This window comes from Homo sapiens, chromosome 10 (genome assembly GCF_000001405.40).
Source record: "Homo sapiens chromosome 10, GRCh38.p14 Primary Assembly".
Classification (NCBI taxonomy): Eukaryota; Metazoa; Chordata; class Mammalia; order Primates; family Hominidae; genus Homo; species Homo sapiens.
In genome coordinates this window covers 105,714,017-105,739,988 of record NC_000010.11, presented here as the reverse complement: position 1 = coordinate 105,739,988, position 25,972 = coordinate 105,714,017, and the positions used below count along the sequence as shown (strand labels likewise).

The 25,972-nt window shown below is 41.6% G+C and overlaps 1 long non-coding RNA gene across 1 annotated transcript in view, besides 1 other annotated feature; it reads left to right on the top strand.

Moving 5' to 3' along the window:
• Positions 1 to 25,972, top strand: part of LINC02627 (long intergenic non-protein coding RNA 2627) — a 146,724-nt gene that overhangs the window by 80,345 nt on the left and 40,407 nt on the right. The window lies entirely within an intron of this gene.
• Positions 11,548 to 12,747: an enhancer, noted in NCBI's record as "P300/CBP strongly-dependent group 1 enhancer chr10:107487000-107488199 (GRCh37/hg19 assembly coordinates)". NCBI's record gives its function as "activates an origin of replication core promoter dependent on BRD2, BRD4, P300/CBP, MED14 and CDK7 cofactors, with strong dependence on P300/CBP, by STARR-seq in HCT116 cells {active_cell/tissue: HCT116}" and the evidence as "EXISTENCE:reporter gene assay evidence [ECO:0000049][PMID:35650434]".

The window sequence follows — 25,972 nt, the reverse complement described above, 5'->3', positions numbered from 1 at the left end:
GCTTAAGGAAATTTTGGCCTGAGACAATGGGGTTTTCTAGATATACAATCATGTTGTCTGCAAACAGGGACAATTTGACTTCCTCTTCTCCTAATTGAATACCCTTTATTTCCTTCTCCTGCCTAATTGTCCTGGCCAGAACTTCCAACACTATGTTGAATAGGAGCGGTGAGAGAGGGCATCCCTGTCTTGTGCCAGTTTTCAAAGGGAATGCTTCCAGTTTTTGCCGATTCAGTATGATATTGGCTGTGGTTTGTCATAGATAGCTCTTATTATTTTGAGATATGTCCCATCAATACCTAATTTATTAGAGTTTTTAGCATGAAGGGTTGTTGAATTTTGTCAAAGGCCTTTTCTGCATCTATTGAGATAATCATGTGGTTTTTGTCTTTGGTTCTGTTTATATGCTGGATTACATTTATTGGTTTGCGTATATTGAACCAGCCTTGCATCCCAGGGATGAAGCCCACTTGATCATGGTGGATAAGCTTTTTGAGGTGTTGCTGGATTCACTTTGCCAGTATTTTATTGAGGATTTTTGCATCAATGTTCATCAAGGATATTGGTCTAAAATTCTCTTTTTTGGAGCTGTCTCTGCCCGGCTTTGGTATCAGGATGATGGTGGCCTCATAAAATGAGTTAGGGAGGATTCTCTCTTTTTCTATTCATTGGAATAGTTTCAGAAGGAATGGTACCAGTTCCTCCTTGTACCTCTGGTAGAATTGGGCTGTGAATCCATCTGGTCCTGGACTCTTTTTGGTTGGTAAGCTATGGATTATTGCCACAATTTCAGATCCTGTTATTGGTCTATTCAGAGATTCCACTTCTTCCTGGTTTAGTCTTGGGAGGGTGTATGTGTCGAGGAATTTATCCATTTCTTCTAGATTTTCTAGTTTATTTGTGTAGAGGTGTTTGTAGTATTCTCTGATGGTAGTTTGTATTTCTGTGGGATCGGTGGTGATATCCCCTTTGTCATTTTTTATTGCGTCTATTTGATTCTTCTCTCTTTTTTTCTTTATTAGTCTTGCTAGCGGTCTATCAATTTTGTTGATCCTTTCAAAAAACCAGCTCCTGGATTCATTAATTTTTTGAAGGGTTTTTTGTGTCTCTATTTCCTTCAGTTCTGCTCTGATTTTAGTTATTTCTTGCCTTCTGCTAGCTTTTGAATGTGTTTGCTCTTGCTTTTCTAGTTCTTTTAATTGTGATGTTAGGGTGTCAATTTTGGATCTTTCCTGCTTTCTCTTGTAGGCATTTAGTGCTATAAATTTCCCTCTACACACTGCTTTGAATGTGTCCCAGAGATTCTGGTAAGTTGTGTCTTTGTTCTCGTTGGTTTCAAAGAACATCTTTATTTCTGCCTTCATTTTGTTATGTACCCAGTAGTCATTCAGGAGCAGGTTGTTCAGTTTCCATGTAGTTGAGAAGTTTTGAGTGAGCTTCTTAATCTTGAGTTCTAGTTTGATTGCACTGTGGTCTGAGAGATAGTTTGTTATAATTTCTGTTCTTTTACATTTGCTGAGGAGAGCTTTACTTCCAACTATGTGGTCAATTTTGGAATAGGTGTGGTGTGGTGCTGAAAAAAATGTATATTCTGTTGATTTGGGGTGGAGAGTTCTGTAGATGTCTATTAGGTCCGCTTGGTGCAGAGCTGAGTTCAATTCCTGGGTATCCTTGTTAACTTTCTGTCTCATTGATCTGTCTAACGTTGACAGTAGGGTGTTAAAGTCTCCCATTATTATTGTGTGGGAGTCTAAGTCTCTTTGTAGGTCACTCAGGACTTGCTTTATGAATCTGGGTGCTCCTGTATTGGGTGCATATATATTTAGGATAGTTAGCTCTTCTTGTTTAATTGATCCCTTTACCATTATGTAATGGCCTTCATTGTCTCTTTTGATCTTTGTTGGTTTAAAATCTGTTTTATCAGAGACTAGGCTTGCAACCCGTGCCTTTTTTTGTTTTCCATTTGCTTGGTAGATCTTCCTCCATCCTTTTATTTTGAGCCAATGTGTGTCTCTGCACGTGAGATGGGTTTCCTGAATACAGCACACTGATAGGTCTTGACTCTTTATCCAATTTGCCAGTCTGTGTCTTTTAATTGGAGCATTTAGTCCATTTACATTTAAAGTTAATGTTGTTATGTGTGAATTTGATCCTGTCATTATGATGTTAGCTGGTTATTTTGCTCGTTAGCTGATGCAATTTCTTCCTAGCCTCGATTGTCTTTACCATTTGGCATGATTTTGCAGTGGCTGGTACCGGTTGTTCCTTTCCATGTTTAGTGCTTCCTTCAGGAGCTCTTTTAGGGCAGGCCTGCTGGTGACAGAATCTCTCAGCATTTGCTTGTCTGTAAAGTATTTTATTTCTCCTTCACTTATGAAGCTTAGTTTGGCTGGATATGAAATTCTGGGTTGAAAATTCTTTTCTTTAAGAATGTTGAATATTGGCCCCCACTCTCTTCTGGCTTGTAGGGTTTCTGCCGAGAGATCCGCTGTTAGTCTGATGGGCTTCCCTTTGAGGGTAACCTGACCTTTCTCTCTGGCTGCCCTTAACATTTTTTCCTTCATTTCAACTTTGGTGAATCTGACAATTATGTGTCTTGGAGTTGGTCTTCTCGAGGAGTATCTTTGTGGCGTTCTCTGTATTTCCTGAATCTGAATGTTGGCCTGCCTTGCTAGATTGGGGAAGTTCTCCTGGATAATATCCTGCAGAGTGTTTTGCAACTTGGTTCCATTCTCCCCATCACCTTCAGGTACACCAATCAGACGTAGATTTGGTCTTTTCACATAGTCCCATATTTCTTGGAGGCTTTGTTCATTTCTTTTTATTCTTTTTTCTCTAAACTTCCCTTCTCGCTTCATTTCATGCATTTCATCTTCCATCACTGATACGCTTTCTTCCAGTTGGTCGCATCGGCTCCTGAGGCTTATGCATTCTTCACGTAGTTCTCGAGCCTTGGTTTTCAGCTCCATCAGCTTCTTTAAGCACTTCTCTGTATTGGGTATTCTAGTTATACATTCATCTAAATTTTTTTCAATGTTTTTAACTTCTTTGCCTTTGGTTTGAATTTCCTCCTGTAGCTCGGAGTAGTTTGATCGTCTGAAGCCTTCTTCTCTCAACTCGTCAAAGCCATTCTCCATCCAGCTGTGTTCCGTTGCCGGTGAGGAACTGCGTTCCTTTGGAGGAGGAGAGGCGCTCTGCTTTTTAGAGTTTCCAGTTTTTCTGCTCTGTTTTTTTCCCATCTTTGTGGTTTTATCTACTTTCGGCCTTTGATGATGGTGATGTACAGATGGGTTTTTGGTGAGGATGTCCTTTCTGTTTGTTAGTTTTCCTTCTAACAGACAGGACCCTCAGCTGCAGGTCTGTTGGAGTTTGCTAGAGGTCCACTCCAGACCCTGTTTGCCTGGGTACCAGCAGCAGTGGCTGCAGAACAGCGGATTTTCGTGAACCGCGAATGCTGCTGTCTGATCGTTCCTCTGGAAGTTTTGTCTCAGAGGAGTACCCGGCCATGTGAGGTGTCAGTCTGCCCCTACTAGGGGGTGCCTCCTAGTTAGGCTGCTCGGGGGTCACAGGTCAGCGACCCACTTGAAGAGGCAGTCTGCCCATTCTCAGATCTCCACCTGTGTGCTGGGAGAACCACCGCTCTCTTCAAAGCTGTCAGACAGGGACATTTAAGTCTGCAGAGGTTACTGCTGTCTTTTTGTTTGTCTGTGCCCTGCCCCCAGAGGTGGAGCCTACAGAGGCAGGCAGGCAGGCCTCCTTGAGCTGTGGTGGGCTCCACCCAGTTCGAGCTTCCCAGCTGCTTTGTTTACCTAAGCAAGCCTGGGGAATGGCAGGCGCCCCTCCCCCAGCCTCGCTGCCACCTTGCAGTTTGATCTCAGACTGCTGTGCTAGTAATCAGCGAGACTCCTTGGGCGTAGGACCCTTCGAGCCAGGTGCGGAATATAATCTCCTGGTGTGCTGTTTTTTAAGCCGGTCGGAAAAGTGCAGTATTATGGTGGGAGTGAGCTGATTTTCCAGGTGCCATCTGTCACCCCTTTCTTTGACTAGGAAAGGGAACTCCCTGACCCCTTGCACTTCCCGAGTGAGGCAATGCCTCGCCCTGCTTCGGCTCGCACACGGTGCGCTGCACCCACTGTCCTGTGCCCACTGTCTGGCACTCCCTAGTGAGATGAACCCAGTACCTCGGATGGAAATGCAGAAATCACCCGTCTTCTGTGTTGCTCACGCTGGGAGCTGTAGACCAGAGCTGTTCCTATTCGGCCATCTTGGCTGCCAGACCCCGATAAATTTTAATACATTATTAAAGGCTCACCTAAGGCACCAGCTTGAGAAAGACACACTAAGAGGGTGGGCAGTTCTTCTGAAGGATGCTATGCTATGCACTAAAGCAATCACAAGACATCGAATACATCAGACTGGACACCAAAAGTGAGATGTATGATTGGCCTCTTTATTACTCCAAGCAGCCAATTACAAAATTTATACTTTCTGGCCTCAGAATGTTAAGCTTTGCTGGATTAAAAGCACTGTTTTCCAGCAAGGAATATTTCCACCAAGAGTCACAATGAGAATTCGATTGAACTGTAAGTTACAATTCCACTTGGTCACTTTGGGCACCACATGCAGGTGGGCTGGACAACAGGCAACGAAAAGTTTAGGTTTGCTATGCACTGAATGTTTGCCAAAATTCATATGTTGAAGCCACAGTCCCTTGTGCAATTTGGAGCTGAGGCCTTTGAGAGGTAAGTAGTTCATAAGAGTGGAGCCCTCATGGTGGGAGTAGTGCCCTTATAAAAAGACAACAAGAAAGACAATCTATCTCTTTCCCTCTCTTTCTTTCTCTCTCTGCCACGTGAGAATACAGCAAGCAGCCGGTCATCTAAAAACCAGTGAGAGGGCCTTCACCAGGAAACAAATTGGTTGGTACTTTGGGATCATGGACTTCTCAGCCTCCAGAACTGTAAAAAATAAATATTTGTTGTTTAAGCCACCCAGTCAATGGTATTTGTTCAGGGATAGCAGCCTGAACTAAGACGGGATTATTAACACTGCATGAGAAGCTGGGGTTGCTACCATATCATGGAGCTGAGAAAGACTATATGCAGAACTATGGGAATTTACTAGAATGTATATTTGGGCTTTATGTCTGGTGTTAACACTGTGAAGAAAATTGAGGCAAATAGTCTGATGAGTATGAGAAAATAAAGGAATTATCCCTCAAGGATAAAGGATTAGATCACCACAACATGTAGGCAACCTAGTGACTGAATTTCTCCCTGAAGGTGAGGGAAATCTACAACAGGATGTCGAGCCAAAAGGAAGAAGCTGAGGAAAAATTAATACAAGTAGAGAGTTTATTTAGGCCAAGTATGAGGATTGCAACCCATGAGTATAGATTCTCGGTATAGTCTTTTCAACCCTGAAAAGATTCTCTGATTACCAGCAGTTACAAATGGATTTTATTTTATTTTATTGTAGCAGTGAGGTCTCCCTATGTTATCCAGGCTGGTCTCGAACTCTGGCCTCAAGTTATTGATCTTCCTACTACAGCCTCCCAAAGTGCTGGGACTGTAGGCATGAGCCACCCTACCTGACTACAAGTCAATTTTTAAAGAAAAAGTAGGGAGAGTTCCTGAGTAGTTTCCTAAGAATTTACATTAAGATATTGATTGGTTATAGATTGTTATTTGTATCACACATTCCAGGAACATGAAAATAATCACTGAGGCAGCTAGTCAGAACCAAGAAGACTTTAAACAATTGTCCCCAACCATAAAGGAGAGGGCATGATGAAACTGCTATACTCTTGTCTCTCTGGGCCTGCATACTTTACATAACTTGGACTGCCCTAGGACATTTTTATTTTCTCAGGTGGTAATACTCTCAGAACTTATTCTGGTAGGACAGCTGCATTGCATTCCATTAAACTATGCTTTTTTTTTTTTTTGCTACTCTTTTCAGAGATCCTTGCCAACTTCAGTGCTCTTTGCCAACACCAGCACCTTCATAACAGGTCTTTATTGAATTTTCTTCCTTTCCTGTCTCAGTCTCCCCACTGTCACTGCTTCCTTTTGGAATTATTTTCCAAAGAAACTATCCCAAATTAAGTCGTTATCTCAGGTTCTACTCTTGGCAGAATCCAAATCAAGGGAAGCACCATTTTTATACAATTTATAAACACATATACTTTGAAATGTAATACATGTCACGCACGTCCGTGTGAAGAGACCACCACATGGGCTTTGTGTGAGCAATAAAGCTGTTTATTTCACCTGGGTGCAGGTGGGCTGAGTCCGAAGAAGGAGTCAGTGAAGGGAGCTAGGGGTGGGGCCATTTTATAGGATTTGGGTAGGTAATGGAAAATTACAGTCAAAGGGGGTTGTTCTCTGGCAGGCAGGGGCGGGGTTCACAAGGTGCTAAGTAGGGGAGCTTCTGATCCAGGAGAAGGAATTTCACTAAATAATGTCATCGTTAAGGCAGGAACCAGCCATTTTCACTTCTTTTGTGATTTTTCACTTGTTTCAGGCCATTTGGAGGTATACGTGCAGGCTTGGGCTCAGAGGCCTGACATTCCTGTCTTTTTACATTAATAAGAAAAATAAAACAAAATAGTGTTGAAGTGTTCGGAAAGTGAAAATTTTTGGCGGTGGTATGGAGAGATAATGGGCGATGTTTCTCAGAGGTGCTTCGAGTGGGATTAGGGGTGGCGTGGGAACCTAGAGTGGGAGAGATTAAGCTGAAGGAAGATTTTTGTGGTAAGGGGTGATACTGTGGGTTGTTAGAAGGAGCATTTGTCATACAGAATGATTGTTGATGGCCTGGATATGGTTTGGGTTGAACTGAGAAACTAAACAGAAGACACAAGGTCCAAATAAGAGAAGGAGAAAAACAGGTATTAAAAGACAAAGAATTTGGGAGGACCCAGGACATCCAATTAGAGAGTGCCTAAGGGGGTTCAGCATAATTACTTTCTTGGTTGGCAAGTTTTTAGACTCTATCCTTTAGTTTTTTTATATTGTCATATACCAGGCCAGATTGATTTATGTAAAAACAACACTTTTCATTTAAAAATATACAGAATCCTCTTTTTTTAGCAGTGAGTAAGTCGAGGCCTTGGCAATTTTGGAGGAAAGAGAAATGCAAAGCCAGCAATTGTTTGTTAAAGGAGGATTAGAAACAGCTAGGAGAGAGTGAGTGAGATTGAGTGTGATGGAGATAGCTGGGGAGAGGTAGAGGGTGGCATAAGAACGGGAGTGAGAATAAGAGTAAGTATAAAAGTAAAGAACAGGACTTTATCAGGGTGAAAGTATTGGAGTGCACCCTGTCAGCAAAGATTATCTATCCACTTTAAGAGAGACTTAAGGGTGGTGGTTTGAGGTAAAACCAGGAGATATCCTTTATGATGGTTTGAAGGAAAAGTGTAAACTGGCAGTGTAAACAAAGGCAGGGTATTTACGAGTAGTTGAGAATGGTGAATGGGAGTATGACTAGACAGAAGACAGTAGGGATGACCAGTTTTTGGGGTGCAGTTCAAGTTGGGCTGGTGTCTGGAATGAGACTGGGGCCTAATAAAAATGAGCATCCATACAGGAGCTCAAATGGGCTGTATCCAGTAGCATCCTGAGGACAGGCCCGAATTCTGAGAAGGGCAAGTGGTAAAAATATTGTCCAGTCCTTTTTAAATTGGAGGCTGAGCTTGGTGAGGTATGTTTTTTTAAAGACCATTAGTCCATTTTACCTTTTCTGAAGATTGAGGATGGTAAGGGTATGAAGGTTCCATTGAATACCAAGAGCCTGAGAAACTGCTTGGGTGATTTGACAAGTAAAGGACAGTCTGAGAGGTGGGAAGGCCAAATCGAGGAATTTTGTCTGACAGAAGGGAAGAAATGACCACGGTGGCCTTCTTAGACCCTGTGGGAAAGGGCTGTACCCATCCAGTGAAAGTGTCTACCTAGACCAAGAGGTATTTTAGTTTCCTGACTCAGGACATGTGAGTAAAGTCAGTTTGCCAGTCCTGGGCAGGGGCAAATTCTCGAGCCTGATGTGTAGGGAAGGGAGGGGCCTGATAAATTCCTGAGGAGTAGTAGAATAGCAGATGGAACACTGAGAAGTGATTTTTAGAGGATAGATTTTTACAATGGAAAGGAAAGGGTTTTAAGAGGTGGGCTAGCGGCTTGTAACTTACATGGAAGAGGTTATGAAATGATGGCAGAATAGAATGGGCCTGTGAGGCTGGAAGGAGATATTTTCCTTGGTCCACGAACCATTTGCCTTGTGTAAGAGATTGATAGGTGGAAGGTTCAGTGGGAGAGGTGGGAGTAGCCAATGAGGAGGAGAAAAACTGGCTCTGAGAGACAGAAGTTGGAATGCTAGCTGCTTTTTTAGCTACCTTATCAGCATAAGCATTGCCCTGAGCAATGGGATCTATCCTTTTGATGGCCTTTGCAGTGAATGATTCCAGCTTCCTTTGGAAGTAAAGCAGCCTTTAGAAGAGTTTTTATTAAAGAGGCATTAATGATGGAGGACCCTTGTGTAGTGAGGAAACCTCTTTCTCCCCATATAACAGCATGGTGGTGCAGGATGTGGAAGACATATTTAGAGTCAGTATAAATATTGACGCATAGTCCCTTTGCAAGAGTGAGGGCTCGAGTTAAGGCAATGAGCTCGGCTTGCTGAGAGGTAGTGGAGGGGGGCAGAGCAGTAGCCTCTCAGTGATAGATGTGGAAGATACTATAGCATAGCCTGCCTTTGCTGGTGAGTGGCGATTAGGCCTGGTGGAACTGCCATCAATAAACCAAGTGTGATCAGGGTGAGAAACAGGAAAGAAGGAAATATGGGGAAATGGAGTGAATGTCAGGTGGATCAGAGAGATACAGTCATGGGGGTCAGATGTGGTATCTGGAATAATGTGGGAGGCCGAATTGAAGTCTGGGCCAGGAACAATGGTAATTGTGGGAGACTCAACAAAGAGTGCATATAGCTGAAGTGGGTGGGGAGCAGAAAGTATATGCATCAGGTGTGAGGAAGAAAATAGATTTTGGAAGTTATGAGAACTGTAGAGAGTGAGTTGAGCATAGTTTGTGATTTTGAGGGCCTCTAAAAGTATTAAAGCAGTGGCAGCCACCGCACACAGACATGAGTGCTAGGCTAAAACAGTAAGGTCAAGTTGTTTGGACAGAAAGGCTACAGGGTGAGGTCCCAGCTCTTGTGTAAGAATTCTGACCACACAGCCCTGTACTTCAGCTGTGTGTAATGAAAAGGGTTGGGATGAGTTAGGGAGAGTTAGTGTGGGAGCAGCTTTTAGGGCTGTTTTTTAAGGAATGGAAAAGGGAGTGGGGAAAGGATTTAGGATTTATGGGGTCAGCTAGGTTTATCTAGAACAGAATAATGGGTTGTGGAGGGAGGTATTGAGGATAGGAGAGTATATGGGTTTGGCACCACGGGGTGGATAGGCAAGACAATTTGGTTGGTAAGGCGTAAATCCTGAATTAACCTGTAAGACTTGTCCGGTTTTTGGACAGGTAAAATGGGGGAATTGTAAGGAGAGTTTATAGGCTTTAGAAGGCGATGCTGTAGCAAGCCAGTGATAACAGGCTTTAATCATTTTAAAGGGTGCTGTGGGATGGATATTGAGCAGGGTAAGGGTGATTAGGTTTTAATGGGATGGTAAGGGAGTGCATGATCGGTCACCTAGGAGGGTGTAGAGGTGTCCCATACTTGTGGACTAAGGTGGGGAGATACAAGGGGAGTTTGTGAAGGAGGCTTTGAACTGGGAAAAAGGGTGGCAATGAGGTGTCGCTATAGTCCAGGAATAGTCAGGGAAGCAGATAATTTAGTTAAAATGTCTCAGCCTAATAAGGGAACTGGGCAGGTGGGGATAACTAAAAAGGAGTACGTAAAAGAATATTGTCCAAGTTGGCACCAGAGTTGGGGAGTTTTAAGAGGTTTAGAAGCCCGGCCATCAAAATACACAACAGTTATGGAGGCAAAGGAAACAGGCCCTTGAAAAGAAGGTAATGTGGAGTTGGTAGCCTCCATATTGATTAAGAAGGGGAGGACTTACCCTCCACTGTAAGAGTTACCCAAAGCGTCTGTGATGGTCCAGGAGGCTTCCGAGGCAATCAGGCAGCGTCAGTCTTCAGCCCGCTAAGCCAAGAAGATCTGGGAAGGAGTCAGTCAGAGAACCTTGAGCCAGAGTTCCAGGGTCTCTGGGAGTGGCTGCTGGGCAAGTTGGACAGTCTGATATCCAGTGGGGTCCTGCACAGATGGGACACAGCTTAGGAGGAATCTCAGGCTGAGGGCATTCCTTGGCCCAGATTTCTGGCACTTGAAGCCAGATTTCTGGCACTTGAAGCAAGATCCTGATGGAGGAAGTCCTGAAGGAATGCTTGACTGCTGTGGCTTAGGCATTTTGAAGTGTTTGTGTGCTGGAGGTGCAGCTGGGTTTTGTCTCACAGCAGAGGCAAGTAATTGTAACTCTTCTCTATTATTGTACACCTTGAAGGCGAGGTTATTTAAGTCCTGTTGTGGGGTTTGAGGGCTGGAATCTAATTTTTGGAGCTTTATTTAAAGTCGGGAGTGGATTGGGTAATAAAATGCATATTTAGAGTGAGACGGCCTTCTGACCCTTCAGGGTCTAGGGCTATAACGCATCTCAGGGTTGCTGCCAAATGAGCCATGAACTGGGCTGTGTTTTCATATTTGATAAAAAAAAAAAAAAAAAAAAAAAGAATGCCCAAATGCTAACTGATTTGGGAGAGGTCGAATAAAGAAAAAGGAGCATTAAACTTGACTATGTCTTTAGCTCCAGCCACCTCTTTAAGAGGAAATTGTTGGGCAGGTGGGGGAGGGCTAGTCATGGAACAAAACTGTAAGCTGGACTGGGTGTGATGAGGGGAGGTGATTGAAGGATTATAGGGTTGGGGAGCAGAGGCTGAGGAAGAATTGGAGCCTGATTCAGCCTGGTGGGGAGTGACTTGAGGAGGAGCAGTCTGGGGAGGAGTGGAGAGGTCAGATGGGTCGGTAGAAAAGGAAGATTGAAAAGACTCAGTGACGCTTGGGGTTGGGACTGAGGGGACAGGCAGGAGGGAAAGAAGGAAGATTTGAGACGAGTTGCATTGGGAACAGAGACTAGGGAGGGACTGATGTGTAAAAGAATGCCTGGATGTCAGACACCTCAGACCGTTTGCCCATTTTATGACAAGAATTATCTAGATCTGATAGGATGGAAAAATCAAAAGTGCCATTTTCTGGCTATTTGGAACCATCGTTGAGTTTGTACTGGGGTCAAGTGGCATTGCAGAAGAAAATAAGGCATTTAGGTTTTAGGTCAGGTGTGAGTTGAAGAGGTTTAAAATTTTTGAGAGCACAGGCTAAGGGAGAAGAGGGAGGAATGGAGGGTGGAAGGTTGCCCATAGTGAAGGAGGCAAGCCCAAAGAAAAGAGAGGGTAGAGACACAGAGAGAAGGAGTGGGGGGGGTACTTGCCCCCCAGGGGAGGTGGTGCTTGCCCCCCAGGAAAGTGGTACTTGCCACTAAGGGTGAAGGATCAAGGCAGGCGTCCCCGCAGTGATCAGACACCTCTGAAACATGGGTGAATAATCAAGCAGGTGTCCCTGCAGTGATTAAACACCAAGGGAAGACTGTCTTCCTGAGTCCGTGACTGATGCCGGAGTTTGGGGTTCACGGATAAAACGCATCTCCTCTGTCTCTACCAGAAAAGGAAAGGAACTGAAATTAACAGAAGGGAGAGATTGAAGGGTGGCGCCAATATTGAAAGGAGAAAGAGGTTGAAGGATAGTGAGAGAGGTTGGAGAAGAGAGTAAAAAGAGGCCGCTTACCTGATTTAAAATTAGTGAGATGTTCCTTGGGCTGGTTGGTCTGAGGACCTGAGGTCGTAGGTGGATCTTTCTCACGGAGCAAAGAGCAGGAGGACAGGGGATTGATCTCCCAAGGGAGGTTCCCTGATCTGAGTCATGGCACCAAATGTCACGCACGTCCATTTGAAGAGACCACCAAACAAGCTTTGTGTGAGCAATAAAGCCATTTATTTCACCTGGGTGCAGGCGGGCAGAGTCCAAAAAGAGAGTCAGCAAAGGGAGATAGGGGTGGGGCCGTTTTATAGGATTTGGGTAGGTAATGGAAAATTATAGTCAAAGGGGGTTTTTCTCTTGCAGGCAGGGGCAGGGTTCACAAGGTGCTCAGTGGGGGTGCTTCTGAGCCAGGAGAAGGAATTCCACAAGGTAATGTCATCAGTTAAGATAAGAAACAGCAATTTTCACTTCTTTTGTGATTCTTCACTTGCTTCAGGCCATCTGCATGTATACATGCAGGCTTGGCCTCAGAGGCCTGACAATACATACATAATGTGATTTTTTTTTCTATTTTTTATTATTATACTTTAAGTTTTAGGGTACATGTGCACATTGTGCAGGTTAGTTACATACGTATACATGTGCCATGCTGAAGTAAAATTATATTTTGGAAAAAATACTGTGCTTATGGCAAGTTGCTTCTGACTGCCTTGACCAAGTCCACTTTAAGGTTTCCCTCAGCTTGATCCGACTTTACACCCTTCTCTCCCTGTCTCAAGGCCCCTGGCCTCCCTTTCCTTAAGTTAGAAAACTTGTAATTGCAAATTCTCTATCTGTCCCTTTGAGATATAAATCTTATTCCAGCCTCTGGTCAGTTTTACAACCCAGGAATGTCTTTCTCTAGGACCAGGAGCCACCCTTTGAAATGGAATCAACAAAGTAAATAATGCCTCTTTCTCCAAGTCTTTGAGGGCGCATAAGAGCCTAATGGCCTTGGGTGTCTTGCTCCCAGTTGTAAAAATATATGATGCCATGAAGATAGGAGAAAGTTTATTTTCTTTTAGGTATGGCCAATTAGCCAATACAAGTGGAATAAGATTGGGCCCCACCAGCTCTGGAAACCTCTCCGACTTCTTGTTTCAGCTGGATCAAGTTCAGACTGAGTTCTGGTTTCTCCCTGCTATCGCATTACTCTTGAATAAAGTCTTTTCATAACCATTTAACATTGTCAAGCGCAATTTTTGGCTTGCCAGTTCCAAGAAATCCCAGTCTTCTTCTATGGGCAGGGACTGTCACATATTTTTTCTCCTACAAGACTCTGCACAAAACTGTTGATATAATATGTGTCCACTATGCACTTGCTAAATAGTAATATATTTGGTCTGGCTACCTCTACCTCGCCTTTGCCTACCTCAGCTCTTCCAAGCCTCATTCTTACTGTAGCCAGAGTTACATGCCTGCATACAACATTTCAATGCCAGGAAATCCTTTGTTCATGAGGTAAAGTTCAAAATTAGCATGATATGCATGATTTTGCAAGATCTAGCCCTACCTTGCCTTTCTAGATTCTTCAGTGATCATGCTCCTTCTCAAAATGTATGCATGAAGAAAGTTGCACAAATATATTATCTTAGCACATATTGCTCTTTCCATCTTGAAAACTTTTCCTCTCCAGTGTTCATTTGAATCCCATCCTTCAGGTCACAATAGACATATTTCCTTTGAGAAGTTTTCTGAACTGCAAGTCTGAATTAGATGCCCTCTTTTAGATCTTTGAATTTTTTCTATTTTATTTTGTTATTTATTTATTTATTTATTTATTTATTTAATTTATTTATTTATTTATTTTTGAGATAGAGTTTTCACTCTTATTGACCAGGCTGGAGTGCAATGGTGCGATGTCAGCTCACTGCAACCTCCATCTCCCAGGTTCAAGTGATTCTCTTGCCTCACCCTCCCGAGTAGGTGGGATTACAGGCACCTGCCACCATACACGCCTAATTTTTTGTATTTTTATTAGAGATGGGGTTTCACCATGTTGGCCAGGCTGGTCTTGAACTCCTGACCTCAGGTGATCGACCTGCCTCAGCCTCCCAAAGTGCTGGGATTACAGGTAACTTTTCCTATTTTAGACTTCATCTTTACTATTCCTTGTGGACTTGTTTGTCTCCCTGCTACATCCACCCTTCCCTTCAAACTGTGAGGATCCTAGTACGCAGCATATAATAAGCACAAAATAAATATTTGCTAAATGAATGATTAAGAACCTTCTTTTTTTATCATGGTCATATGCTACCTTTGGCTGATTGATATTTGATCTAATAGACAAGTCCTCAAAAATAATGGAAGAAAAACAAGCTTCACTTTAGAAAACATATTTCCAGCCTGGAAGAAACAAATGAGAATTTGAGGAGGCTTTATTTTATTTCATTCCTATGCTTTTCTAGAAATTACCAAAAACATTGAAACTTACTTTCTGGTGTCTGATTTATGTAATTTATATAATGTCTCCTAATACAAGAAAATATTTCCCAAAGGAGAAATCACCCACTGAAGTAGAGGGCTAGGACTCTCCTCTCCAACTTACAAGACGCTTGGAGGCTATTAATTCCACCTGCTAATGAAGACATCAAACTTTTCTGATACAGGAAAGAAAAAAAATTCAGATTACAAAAAGTTAATCTATCACAGCATTGGTTTTCATAGAATGATAGGTAAGTCTTTGAAAATCATGATAGCAATCAGTTAACGTCAGGTTATTAAAAATTACTTACATGGAACATTCATATACCTATTTTTTAATGCTGTAACCACATTGTGAGATTCACATTATCATTATACAGATAAGGAAACAGGGCTCAGGTGATCTGTAATACATGTCCTTAGGTCAGTCGGAGGCTCTGGCATTGGCCACCACTCTCTGTGGCCGCTGGCTATTCAAAGGAGTTGTGACTCACCTTGACCCGCCTCCTCCATCCATAATCTACATGTCCACGATTAATTCGTAATCCAGCTGCCCACCCTCACCCTCAGGTTGCCTGTGATCAGATGTACTTGATACCCTCATAAGGGCTCAATTTAAGAAGTAGGTGGCTCTTCCTCTTAATACGTGGAGAGTTTTTACCATCTGCCACAAGAAGCACACACACGACCCCTCCGAAAGGCTGAAAGCAGCGTTCCATTTGGTGGCAGGTCAAATGGTCATGCAGAATTGTTACCAATGTTGAGAGCCTTCAAAGGCCAATCCAGATTGCTACCATAACTTCTTGTTTACAACAGCAATGGGTACTAATAGGCAGAAAAGAAAATACAGAGATGTGTGAGAGATAACCCACCCCACAGATTCAAGGAAGGGTCATTTTCTGATGTCATTAGGCTGTGTTTTGTTTGCTGATAAATGTTCACCCTGGCGTGGAGTGGAGGCTGAGGAACTGCATCATACTGCCACAAGTCACAAGCAGTGTGTTTTTTCACAAATTAGTGTATACCATATACTTACACAGTCAGGAGAATCAGACATAGCCAAAGGTTGGGGAAATTTAAAACCTACAATTTGTGCTTGATGGGTTTTTTTTTACCTCTTGTTTTACTTCACCTCCCTATCTCCTGCTTCCCACAAACCCCTGTTATATACAGTTTTTTTTGTACATTATTTCTATATATCACTTATTGAGTTTTCATTTATTGGGCACTCTGATAAATATTTTGTTTTGTTTTGTTTTTTCAATTAAATTCCCCACAACCCTATGAAGTGATGTTAGTAAATCTCTCATCTTACAGAAAAGGAAACTGAGGCCCAGAATGTTAGAAAACATGGCCAAGGCAACATAACTAGTAAATATTAGGAAAAGGTTTTGAACATGTATTCGACTCTTCAACACTCATGCAATAATATTACCCAGAATCTTCCTCTAAGATGACTAATTCCTGACTATGATATTACTTTGATTACAAGTGTATATATTTTTCCAACAAAATATGATTTTATTTTAATAGGTCATAATGACTTTCCCTCCAAGAAATATATTTCTATTGCAGAAAAGTTAGGCGTTAAGGGCAAAAACAGTATCTATTTCCAACACTAGTCATATTGATGGCTCTTCATATGGTGGAGGTCTAAGTTTCAAGTTGTGGTATGTGAAGTATTAATCACTCTAGAATTGGAATGCTTACCTAGGGTTGAATCTTGAATTGGAATGTTTATCTAGAGCTCAGATCAGTACTGAAATGCACAATAACAAAATTGCATCTCTCCATCAGACAAACTCCCTGAAAACCTTCGTTGAATGTGTGAGGTACTGGATTAGGTGGTTTGGTAGATATACACATGATTCATATAGAGAACTTTTGGGAGCTCAGAACAAAAAATGAAATGTCTACATATATAACTTGCACAATATTGAAAATAAAAATGCTAAAATGGAAGTTTAGATAAAGAACAGTGAACATTCAGGGTAAGGTAACATTACTTTTGAAGTCACATTTGTAGTGGATGAAGAAGTGATTTTAGAGCCACACAGACCGAGGTAGGAAAAAATCCCAGCTCTTGAACCTCAACTTCATGTCAAGTGAAACAAGTCACTTAATCTCATTGTGCTAGGTTTTTTATCTATAAAATGAAGATTAAATGTATTTTTTATGTAAGAAATAATCTGTTCTATATAGATATAGGTATCTATACATACCCACACACACATCATAGTCTATGTCTTACTGTAAGAACTCTGTAAATCATGTTTTCTTTTCAATTGTGGGATAAGAGAAGAGGCCATAGAGAAATAGCAAAGTAAGGGGTCTGAAAAGATCAGGAGAATTTGTCAGAGCCAAGATGTGTTTGTTAGACAGGAAGAGGGAGAGAGGATGAATCCAGGAACAGTGAAAATCCTAAGTGAAGCTAAGGGGAAAAAAATACTGAGTTGCATCTTCAAGCTAAGTCCTTTCTACATTTGTTAGTACAAAGGTAAGTCAATTTGGAAAGACAGTTTAGAACCAAGTAGGAGAGGACGTGGCAATAGACTAAAGAGTTTAGAAATATTCATGAATGTCACAGAGAATCACGGGAGCCTCTGGGTAAAGTATAGGAATGTTGTGTTGTCATGATCACGTATATGCTTCTGGAAAACTATTAAAAGAATTTCAATAACTGATTAGAAGAGAGAAGGATTGTAGCCTAGGAGATCATAATAGTAGCCAGAGCATTGATCTAGGCAAAACTATTGAATGACTAAATTTGGGAAATGACTCTGTCAATGAGGTAATTAGGTCGGGATAAGATAGCTTTTGGAAAGAGTGGTGTAGTGCTCAGTGGCATAGTGCTCAGATCAAAGATTACACTGGCATTTTGACACTAAAAGATTGGGAATGTAGTGTTATGTATAATAGAACATTATTTTGGAGTATACAGTAAGGTTAGAGGAAATGATCTGCTTGGGGGTTTGAATTTTCAAGTTCCAGAGAAATTTATAAAAGTAAGTAAGAGAAAGGCAGGAAAAAATATAATCTTTTAGCTTGGGAGAGAGGCTGAAACTCTAAAAACAGGCTATATTTCTCATTTGCATAGAGGTCATAATAGAAGTTGTACAGTTATGTGAGGAAATAATAGAAATTGATTTATTTAGGGACAGGTCCATAGAGCCTTACATTGGAAATGCAGAAGGATAAAAGATTTGAGAGTGAAAATAATCTCAGAAGTCAGATGAAAAGCAGAAGATAGAACATCCTGGGAACAAATGTAGGTGTAAATCAAAAGGGATTTTTAAAAGCTGGATAAAAAACAAAAATGATGAAGATATGCCAAATAGTCATTGCATTTGGTGGGCAGTAAACTTCACAGAGAACTATTACTGACTAATGATATATAAGTCAAATTGTAGGATGTAGGAATAAGTGGGTGGAGAGTACATAGAAATAATTAGTGAAGAACAATAGTTCTTAACTGGAGGTGATTTTGCTTCCAAGAAATATGTGGCACTATCTGGAGATGTACTTGGCTATCACAATGGCAGGGTACAGTGTCTGCTAGTGACACCTATTGAGTAGAGCCCAATGATGGTGTTAATCATTCTGTAACACACAAGACAGCCCCCCACAATAAAGACTTATTTGGCCCTAATGTCAATAGTGCTGAGGGTAAGAAACTGGTGTAGAATGAAGGGAGAGACTTGTTGGGAGTTTGGGAGAACAAGATCAAAGATGAATTTCTTATTGTGCCATTAGGTAATGTTGGCGAGTGTAGATGAAGTAGACCTTGGAGAGGAAATACTAAGTGTTCAATTGAGAAAAGTTTTAATTGGTGGAATATTCCAGATGAGATGGCTATGAGATCAAATCAAGGGCATGATTGGAGGACTTTGCCTTAAAGGAGTTTGCTTTCTCTGAGATGCCTAATCCAACAATATTTCAACCACACCTATTTGTCCACTGTTCACTCTCTTGACTCTATTATTCCCTTCCCTCTCTCATTTTCCTTCTCACCCAACTTAAATTCTATAGTCATTATTATAACCACTCTTGCAAACAACCATAACTTCCTGAACCTCCACTTTTTCTATTATATTCACTTACCATACCACCAAATATTAGTAAAATCCTATTGGTCCCACTTTTGACTTATGATGTCAAATTTTAAAATGGGCTCTTAACATTGTCCAACCTCTCTTCCATAGTGCGTTTACACTTCCACTTTTTGAAATGATAATTTCATAATTATCTCTTTAAACTTACTTTACCCTTTTACCTTCCTTAATCTCAGATGATGACATGGCCCCAAACTTCACTTATGAAATAGGAACAGACAAAAACTTCTCAAGTTTCTATCACTATTCTGTCATTTACTTGCATCTACTTCCAAATCTCTGCCTCTCCTCTAGTTGCAATGAAATAAATACCCTTATCCTCATCAAAGGCCAATCCCTTTACTTGCGCCTGGTTCCCCCCTACCCGTATGTATATATACACATTATTATCTTCATAATACTCATCATTATATAAAATTATCTTATGTATATATTTGTTTTTAAAGGCTTATCTTTTTATATTTAGAGTTTAATTTCTAAAGAAGCAGAGAATTTTCCTTTTTTCCCTCTTGCATCCCAAGAAACTAGAACAGTACCTGGACAGAATAGGTTCTTATTTATAAGCTTAATGAAAAAAAAATGCAAAAAAAGGAGGAAAACGATTATATCTTTCTCTTAGTTGTAAAAGAAGTCTGAAAGGATGTATTTTCAGCAAGATTAAAGTTGTAGATATTCAAATTATTTTACCTCTATTTTGGGACTGTGTCTTATACATCTGGGTCCCTTCCAACTATAACAATGCCTAACTCATAATGGATACATATTAAATATATTTTAAGGAACTAGAAAACCAGGGTATGCATTCTTTTTCAGATGTCATGATTGAAGCAGCAGAGTTGAAGCCTCAAAAATAAGGGCCATGGATAATTGAGAGACCTCAGGTAAAGAAAATGCAGTTGAGTTGAGTATCATGGATTTGTAATAATGTCACAGCACCAGGAACACTTAATGTACAAAGGTCATCAGTCTAAGCATACTTGGCTATCTCCAAACAACCCAGCATGCTTGACATAAGGGAGCTCTTCATAAGGAGCTACAGCTCAAGAAAATTAAATATTAATGAATATACTTTTTCCATTAACAATCTATAGTTCCCTTAACACCATGTGAAAAGCCTTTAGAGAAAACAGAATCATCTTTGTCTCTGGAGTCAATCTCAGCCTAGTAATCATTTGCCATGTGCAGGACTGGAAGCCTCTGTGAGGTGCCTGTGTGTGTCAGCATCAACCATGGCTCTCACATATGTCCACACAAGAGTTGACAGTAATTGGCATGTGGGGAGGAATCGCTGGCTCTAAACACTGAACAGTCCCTTATCAAAAATGTACCTGCCAGACAAAATTGAAGCCTGGCTGCAAAAACTGGAAAAAAAGAGAACATCTTTTGTCTCTTGAAACATTTCCAGAAGAGTAGAATTCTTAACAGCTGGCAAAGTTACCCCAGTATTATGAATTATTTGTACTCAAATAACATTGAACTGGATAGTACGGTGGCTTAAAACTTTATTTATGATTGTCATCTATTATGGACTCAATGTTTGTATCCCTCAAATTCCTTTGTTGAAACCCTAACCCCCAATGTGATGATATTTGGGGGTGGGGCCTTTGGGAGGTAATGAGGGTTAGATTATGCCATGAGGTTCAGGCCCACGTGAATGGAATTCACACCCTTATAAAAAGAGGAGACACAGGATCTCTCTCTCTCTCTCTCTCTCTCACATACACACACACACACACACACACACACACACACACACACACACACCCCATTCTGCTATGTAATGATACAACAAGAAGATAGCCATCTGCAAATAAGGAAGTGAGCTTTCACCAGACATCGGACATGCTGGCATCTTAGGGCTGGATTTCCCAGTCTCTAGAACTGTAAAACACAAATGTTTGCTGTTGAAACCAGGGGTACCCCATTCTCCGGGCCACAGACAGTACCAGTCCATGGCCTGTTAGGAACTGGGCCACGCAGTAGGAGGTGAGCAGCAGGCAAGCCAGCATTATTGCCTGAGTTCCACCTCCTGTTAGATCAGTGGTGGCATTAGATTTTCATAGAACCCTATTGTGGAATGTAGGTTGCATGCTCCTTATAAGAATCTAATGCCTGGTGATCTGAGGTGAAACAGTTTCATCCCAAACCATCTCCCTATGCCCACCTCCATCTGTGGAAAAATTGTCTTCCATGGAACCAGTCCCTGGTGCCAAAAAGGCTGGGTTCTGCTGGTTTAAACCACCTAATCTATTGTAATTTGTTATAGCAGCCCAAACCAACTAGGACATATCTTTCTGCATTCCCTACCCTCGTGCTTAAACACACACACACACACACGGTTTGAGAGACCTCTATGTGTCTGGTTTGTCCTCTATGATTTGGGGGACACAGAGGAAGCAGAATACAAGTTATATTTTTTAGTTATGATTTTTTTTTCCCCAAAAAAAGGTTAGAAATTACTACAGAAAGACACAGAACTCTGGAAGCCAGGTGGGGGGAATTTGTGAGAAAATTAGCTATAATATGAGTCAGAATAGTGCAGAGGTGACAGTGTCTGAGCTTGATTCAATAATCAGAGATTAAGGCCAAATAAAGATGTGGCAAATTCAACCTAGTCCTCAGGCAGACATCCAGACCTAGAAGGACATGGTTCATAGAACATGGTAGAGTGAGAAATTGTACAATGGAGGACAAATTGCAGTTTTCCAAGTAGCTCTGGAAAAAAGAAATGGGTAGGTTATCGCTACATAACCAGAGGCATGAAAACATGGTGCCCCAGATGGGCCTGACTAATCCGTAATTAGTTCCATGGGAAAGTGAGTACTCTTTCCAGAATGGCTGGGATATTGTGCAGCTGTGGAAGGCTCAGACCAAGAGATTAATAGAGATGAAAAATTAAAGAATAGAGACTCCAATGTCAGTCCTGAGCACTGAGACTGTCTTTTAATCAATGCTTTGCTAGATATGAAATGCCTTCCTTTTTCTCTGGAAGAATTTCTTTATTGTGTCTCTTAATAGATGTTTCTGAATGAAGATAAACAATTCTTCCAAAACAGTAGCCAAATCAATAATTTATTCAATAGATTTGTGTTTAACCCACATTTTATGAAAGGCATGGTGCCATGGGCTGGGCATACAGAAGGGAGCTGCAAGTTCAGCAAACTTCTCACATGGAAGTCTGTGAGAGAAGGAAGTGAGAAAGCAGGTGGTTAGAAAACGAAAGTGTGCTAAAGCAGTAGATAGGAAGGACTCCAAACCCAGGCTCCAGGGGAGGTTCCCTGGAGAAAGTGTTATCTAAACAGATTTCTGAAAGTAGAATTGGATAGCTGGATGTCAAAGAGATGGGTGGATAATGTTCTGTGCAAGAGAAAGAACATCCAAAGACTTGGAGATAATACAGAATTATGGAGCATTTAAGGGACAGGATGAAGTTTGGTATAGCTGAGTTGTGGCATGAAAAGAGGTTGCAAGGGAGAAGAATGGAAAGAGATGAGATGGAAGAGGTAAGTGGGTATGGATTGTGTAGGGACATAGAAATCTTGATCAAGCCAAGGAGCTTGACCACAAAGCCCCTCTCCTCCTCAGGTTTCCTCTGATATTTACTAATTGTGCCAGGACATTTGCGCTTGATCCACCCCCTGGTATTGTTACCTTTTTGTGTGTGCTCCATATTCCCAACTAGTATATAAGAACCTGGAGGAAAGTAATCAGCATTTGCAATTCTTTGGATGTCCCCAGTGTTTAGACCATGTAGGAATTTGATCAATATTGGGAATTGATTGGTTAATCCCAGTGAATATTTCATGACATTCAACCCACTACTGTGAACTAGATGGAACAAGTCTGCACACAGATAAGTTCATCAAGTCTTGGAGGAGAGAGGGTCCACAAGAGGAGGCCAAAGGACAAGCAGGAGCAGGCAAGGTACAAGGTGGCCAGAACAGTCTATACACATCAACATGAACAAAAAGAGTGCTAACATTTTTAGTCCTTGTAAGGTGCTACTCTGTGGTTTTTTTTTTTTTTTTTTTTTTTTTTGTGAGAACTCTGTCGCCCAGGCTGGAGTGCAGTGGTGCAATCTCAGCTCACTACAAGCTCCACCTCCCAGGTTCACGCCATTCTTCTGCCTAAGCCTCCCGAGCAGCTGGGACTTCAGGCGCCCGCCACCACGCCCAGCTAATCTTTTGTATTTTTTAGTAGAGACGGGGTTTCTCTGTGTGAGCCAGGATGGTCTCAATCTCCTAACCTCGTGATCCGCCCACCTTGGCCTCCCAAAGTGCTGGGATTACAGGCGTGAGCCACTGCACACCCGGCCATGTTCTAAGTTCTTTACATGTATTAACTCACTTCTTCTCAAAATAACCTAATGAGATCAGAAGGATTACTATCTTCCATAGTAAGATTACCATATTCCATGGTAATATCTTACCATTCTTCCAGGTAAGGAAACAGAGGCACAAAGAAAGTAAGTAGCTCACCCACAGTCACTCATATGAAATGCCAAAGTGGGGACTCAAAAACAAGCATTCTGACTCTTTCATCCATACTTCATCCATGGGGAATGCTGGATCCCAACACACACACATACAGAAACAAGCATGGTGGGATGTGCACTAAGCCATTACTCATATCCATCTCTTGGAAATTTTCTTTTTAATTATCTGTATCTGCTACTGTCTTATTGTCTGTGCATCATAGGTGGAGTAGTGAACAATATGAAGGCTATAGAATTCCAGAGCATCAAATCAAAAAGGCACTTGACAAACCCTAAAATCTAAGACCTTAATTGTAAAAGAAAGAAAGAGGAAGGAAGGAAGGGAGGGAGGGAGGGGAAGAAGGAAGGAAGGAAGGAAGGAAGGAAGGAAGGAAGGAAGGAAAAGAAAGAGAAAGAGAGAAAGAAAAGAAAGAAAGAGGGAGAAAGAAAGAAAAGAAAGAGAATGAAAGAAAAAGAGAAAGAAAGAAGAAAGAGAAAGAAAGGAAGGAAGGAAAGAGAAGGGAGGGAGGGAAGGAAAGAGAGAGAAAGCAAGAAAGAAAAGATAAAGCAAAAGAAAATAAAGGAAAGAAAGGAAGAAAGAAAGAGAAATAAAGAAGGAAATAAACTAGACCAAATGAAGTGAGGTGACACAGATCCTTTATGCAGGCAGTGCCTGCTCTGCTCAAGGAAGCGCTAGGCACAGTAAATGTGTGGTAAACAAGAGCAATCAAAACAACAAGCCAAAGCCATCCTTGGATAGGACTGTCATCCTCCTGGGGAAGAACAGCAATAACAAGTAAAATAAAAGGTAGTGTCAGGTAGATATGAGTCACTGAAAATAACGTAGAGTAAGATATGGATGGTGTTGGGGGCAGCCCAGGTAGGGAGGGTGGTGAGAGAAGCCTCTCTGAGGAGACCATGTTCCAGTGCAAGCCTTGTGAGGAGCCCAAGAAGGGTGTCCACTGGAGTCCCCAGCACAGGGAGGCTCCAGGCAGAAACACATCTGTTGATGAGCAAGCGAGCCAGTGTGGCTGGAGCCCAGTGAAGAGGGGAAAGAGTGGCAGAAAAAGTGGGAGAGTGAGCCAGGGACTGTGTCCTTTAGGATGTGGTAAGAGTAAGAGTTTTGGAGAATGTTCAAAGTGAGGTTTGAAGCAGGAGAGTAATCTAATTTTTTGTTTTAGAAAGAGCATTCTAGCCAGGGGAAGTGACCCATGCCTGTCATTTCAGCACTTTGGGAGGTAGAGGTGGGCGATTGCTTGAGCTCAGGAGTTCAAGACAGCCTGGGCAAGATAGTGAGACTCCATTTTTACAAACAAACAAAAAAATTAGCCAAGCAGGGTGGCACACACCTATAGGCCTAGCTACTCGGGAGGCTGAGGAGAGAGGGTAACTTCAGCCCAAGAGTTTGAGGCTTCAGTGAGCTGTGATCACACCACTGCACTCCAGCCTGGACAACAGAGCGAGACCCTGTCTTTCTAAAATTAAAAAAACAACATTCACTTAATGTAATACTACACAGCAGAAAAAAAAAAGAGCATTTTGGCGGCTGTGTGTAAAGATGATGGTAACATGGACTTTCATGGAATAATGATAAAGATGGTGAGAAGTATTTCAATTTCCTGATGGAAGAAATGAGAAATATTAGAGAAACAGGCATGAAGGGTTTGGGGTCTGAGTAACTGAATATTGGAAGTAGAACTAAAAATCAGACCTAGGTTCTTGACTTTTCAACTAAAGTTTTTGCTACTACTCCATAATGGTAGAAGCCATAAAAATTATTGTCATTTAACTCTAGAGGAAAATAATGATGGAAAAGCTGCAGTTAATAATGACACTTCTGTTTTAAACAAAAAGGTAATAAAACATTAGAGGGATTTTACATTTCCCTACTTTCCTCACTCCACTCCCTTCAGAATTCAGGGTAAAGGGAATTATAACTTAAATGCCATAGAGAGGCAATAACAATTGCATACATAAATTGGAGACTTTGGAATGTATGCTTTTGGCTAAGCAGTGGCTGCCATTTAAAATCCCCTCCTCTCTAGGGTAAGAATGGCAATTTTTTTGGGGGGTGGGTGCAGAAGGGGTTGGTTGTTGTTTTATTATCCTGGCTTGGTAAACTCAGGTTTTGGCAGAAACGTAATGCATCAGCTGTAGTCTGAGTGTTAACAGAACAATCCAGAAAGTGGTTGCTTTCAGATTCCTGAAATAGCTTTTGGGCAGCGTGCTCATTCGAGCTAGACAGAGTTCATTTGTCCACCTTGTCTTCATCTGGCCTTGTCTTCATCTGGCCTTGTCTTTCTTCCCTGCCCTCTGAGATTCTTGTAAGCACAGAAACTGGACTTTTCAGAGCAGATTTGGGAAGAAATTATTATTTCTAGTGAGACATTGCTGCAAGGCCCCATATTAGGGACCTTATGTGAACAAAGCCCCTAGTTCCACTCTCTGGTCCAGAGGTTCCACTTCTATGCAGCTGGCACACAACTCCTACTGGAAAACCATCACTAAGCCAAAAGCATCCAATCTAAGCCCACAATCATTACACGTGTTATAGTGTGAACCTATTACCAATAATAACCTTTTTGAATCTCCATTTCTCATGGCTCCAAGAGTAATGACGATTTTTTTCCAGTTCTTTCTAATGCCACCATTATGAGTGCCATTACTGAGGTAATAGCTGATGGAAAAGAATGGAAGCGTTTTATTTCTCACTTTTCACTCACTCTCCTTGATAAGCGAATATGGGGCTCATTTAAAAGAACGTCGCTATGTGTTAGAGCAGACAATGGGGTTGCCCTCAGTGAACAAGCAAGTCTGGGCATCAGAAAGTCCTCACTAAGGTTCTCTTGCATTTTTTTCATATCACGCTTCTGGGAAGCAGTGAGACTGGGCCAATTTTCTAAGAGGAATAGAATGCAGTTTCTAAGCATCATTCATCAAGTCACTGTTTTTAACAATATTTTGTTTAATCCAGTGAGTCCTAACCTTTGGTGGAGACTGAGGAAGGGAGTGGGTTACCCTGTTAAAAAAGTAGGCCATGTGGTGAAGTGCTTAGAGAGATTATGCAAAGTAAAGCAAACATTAAAAAATAGATGGGAGTGTTACCAGTTGC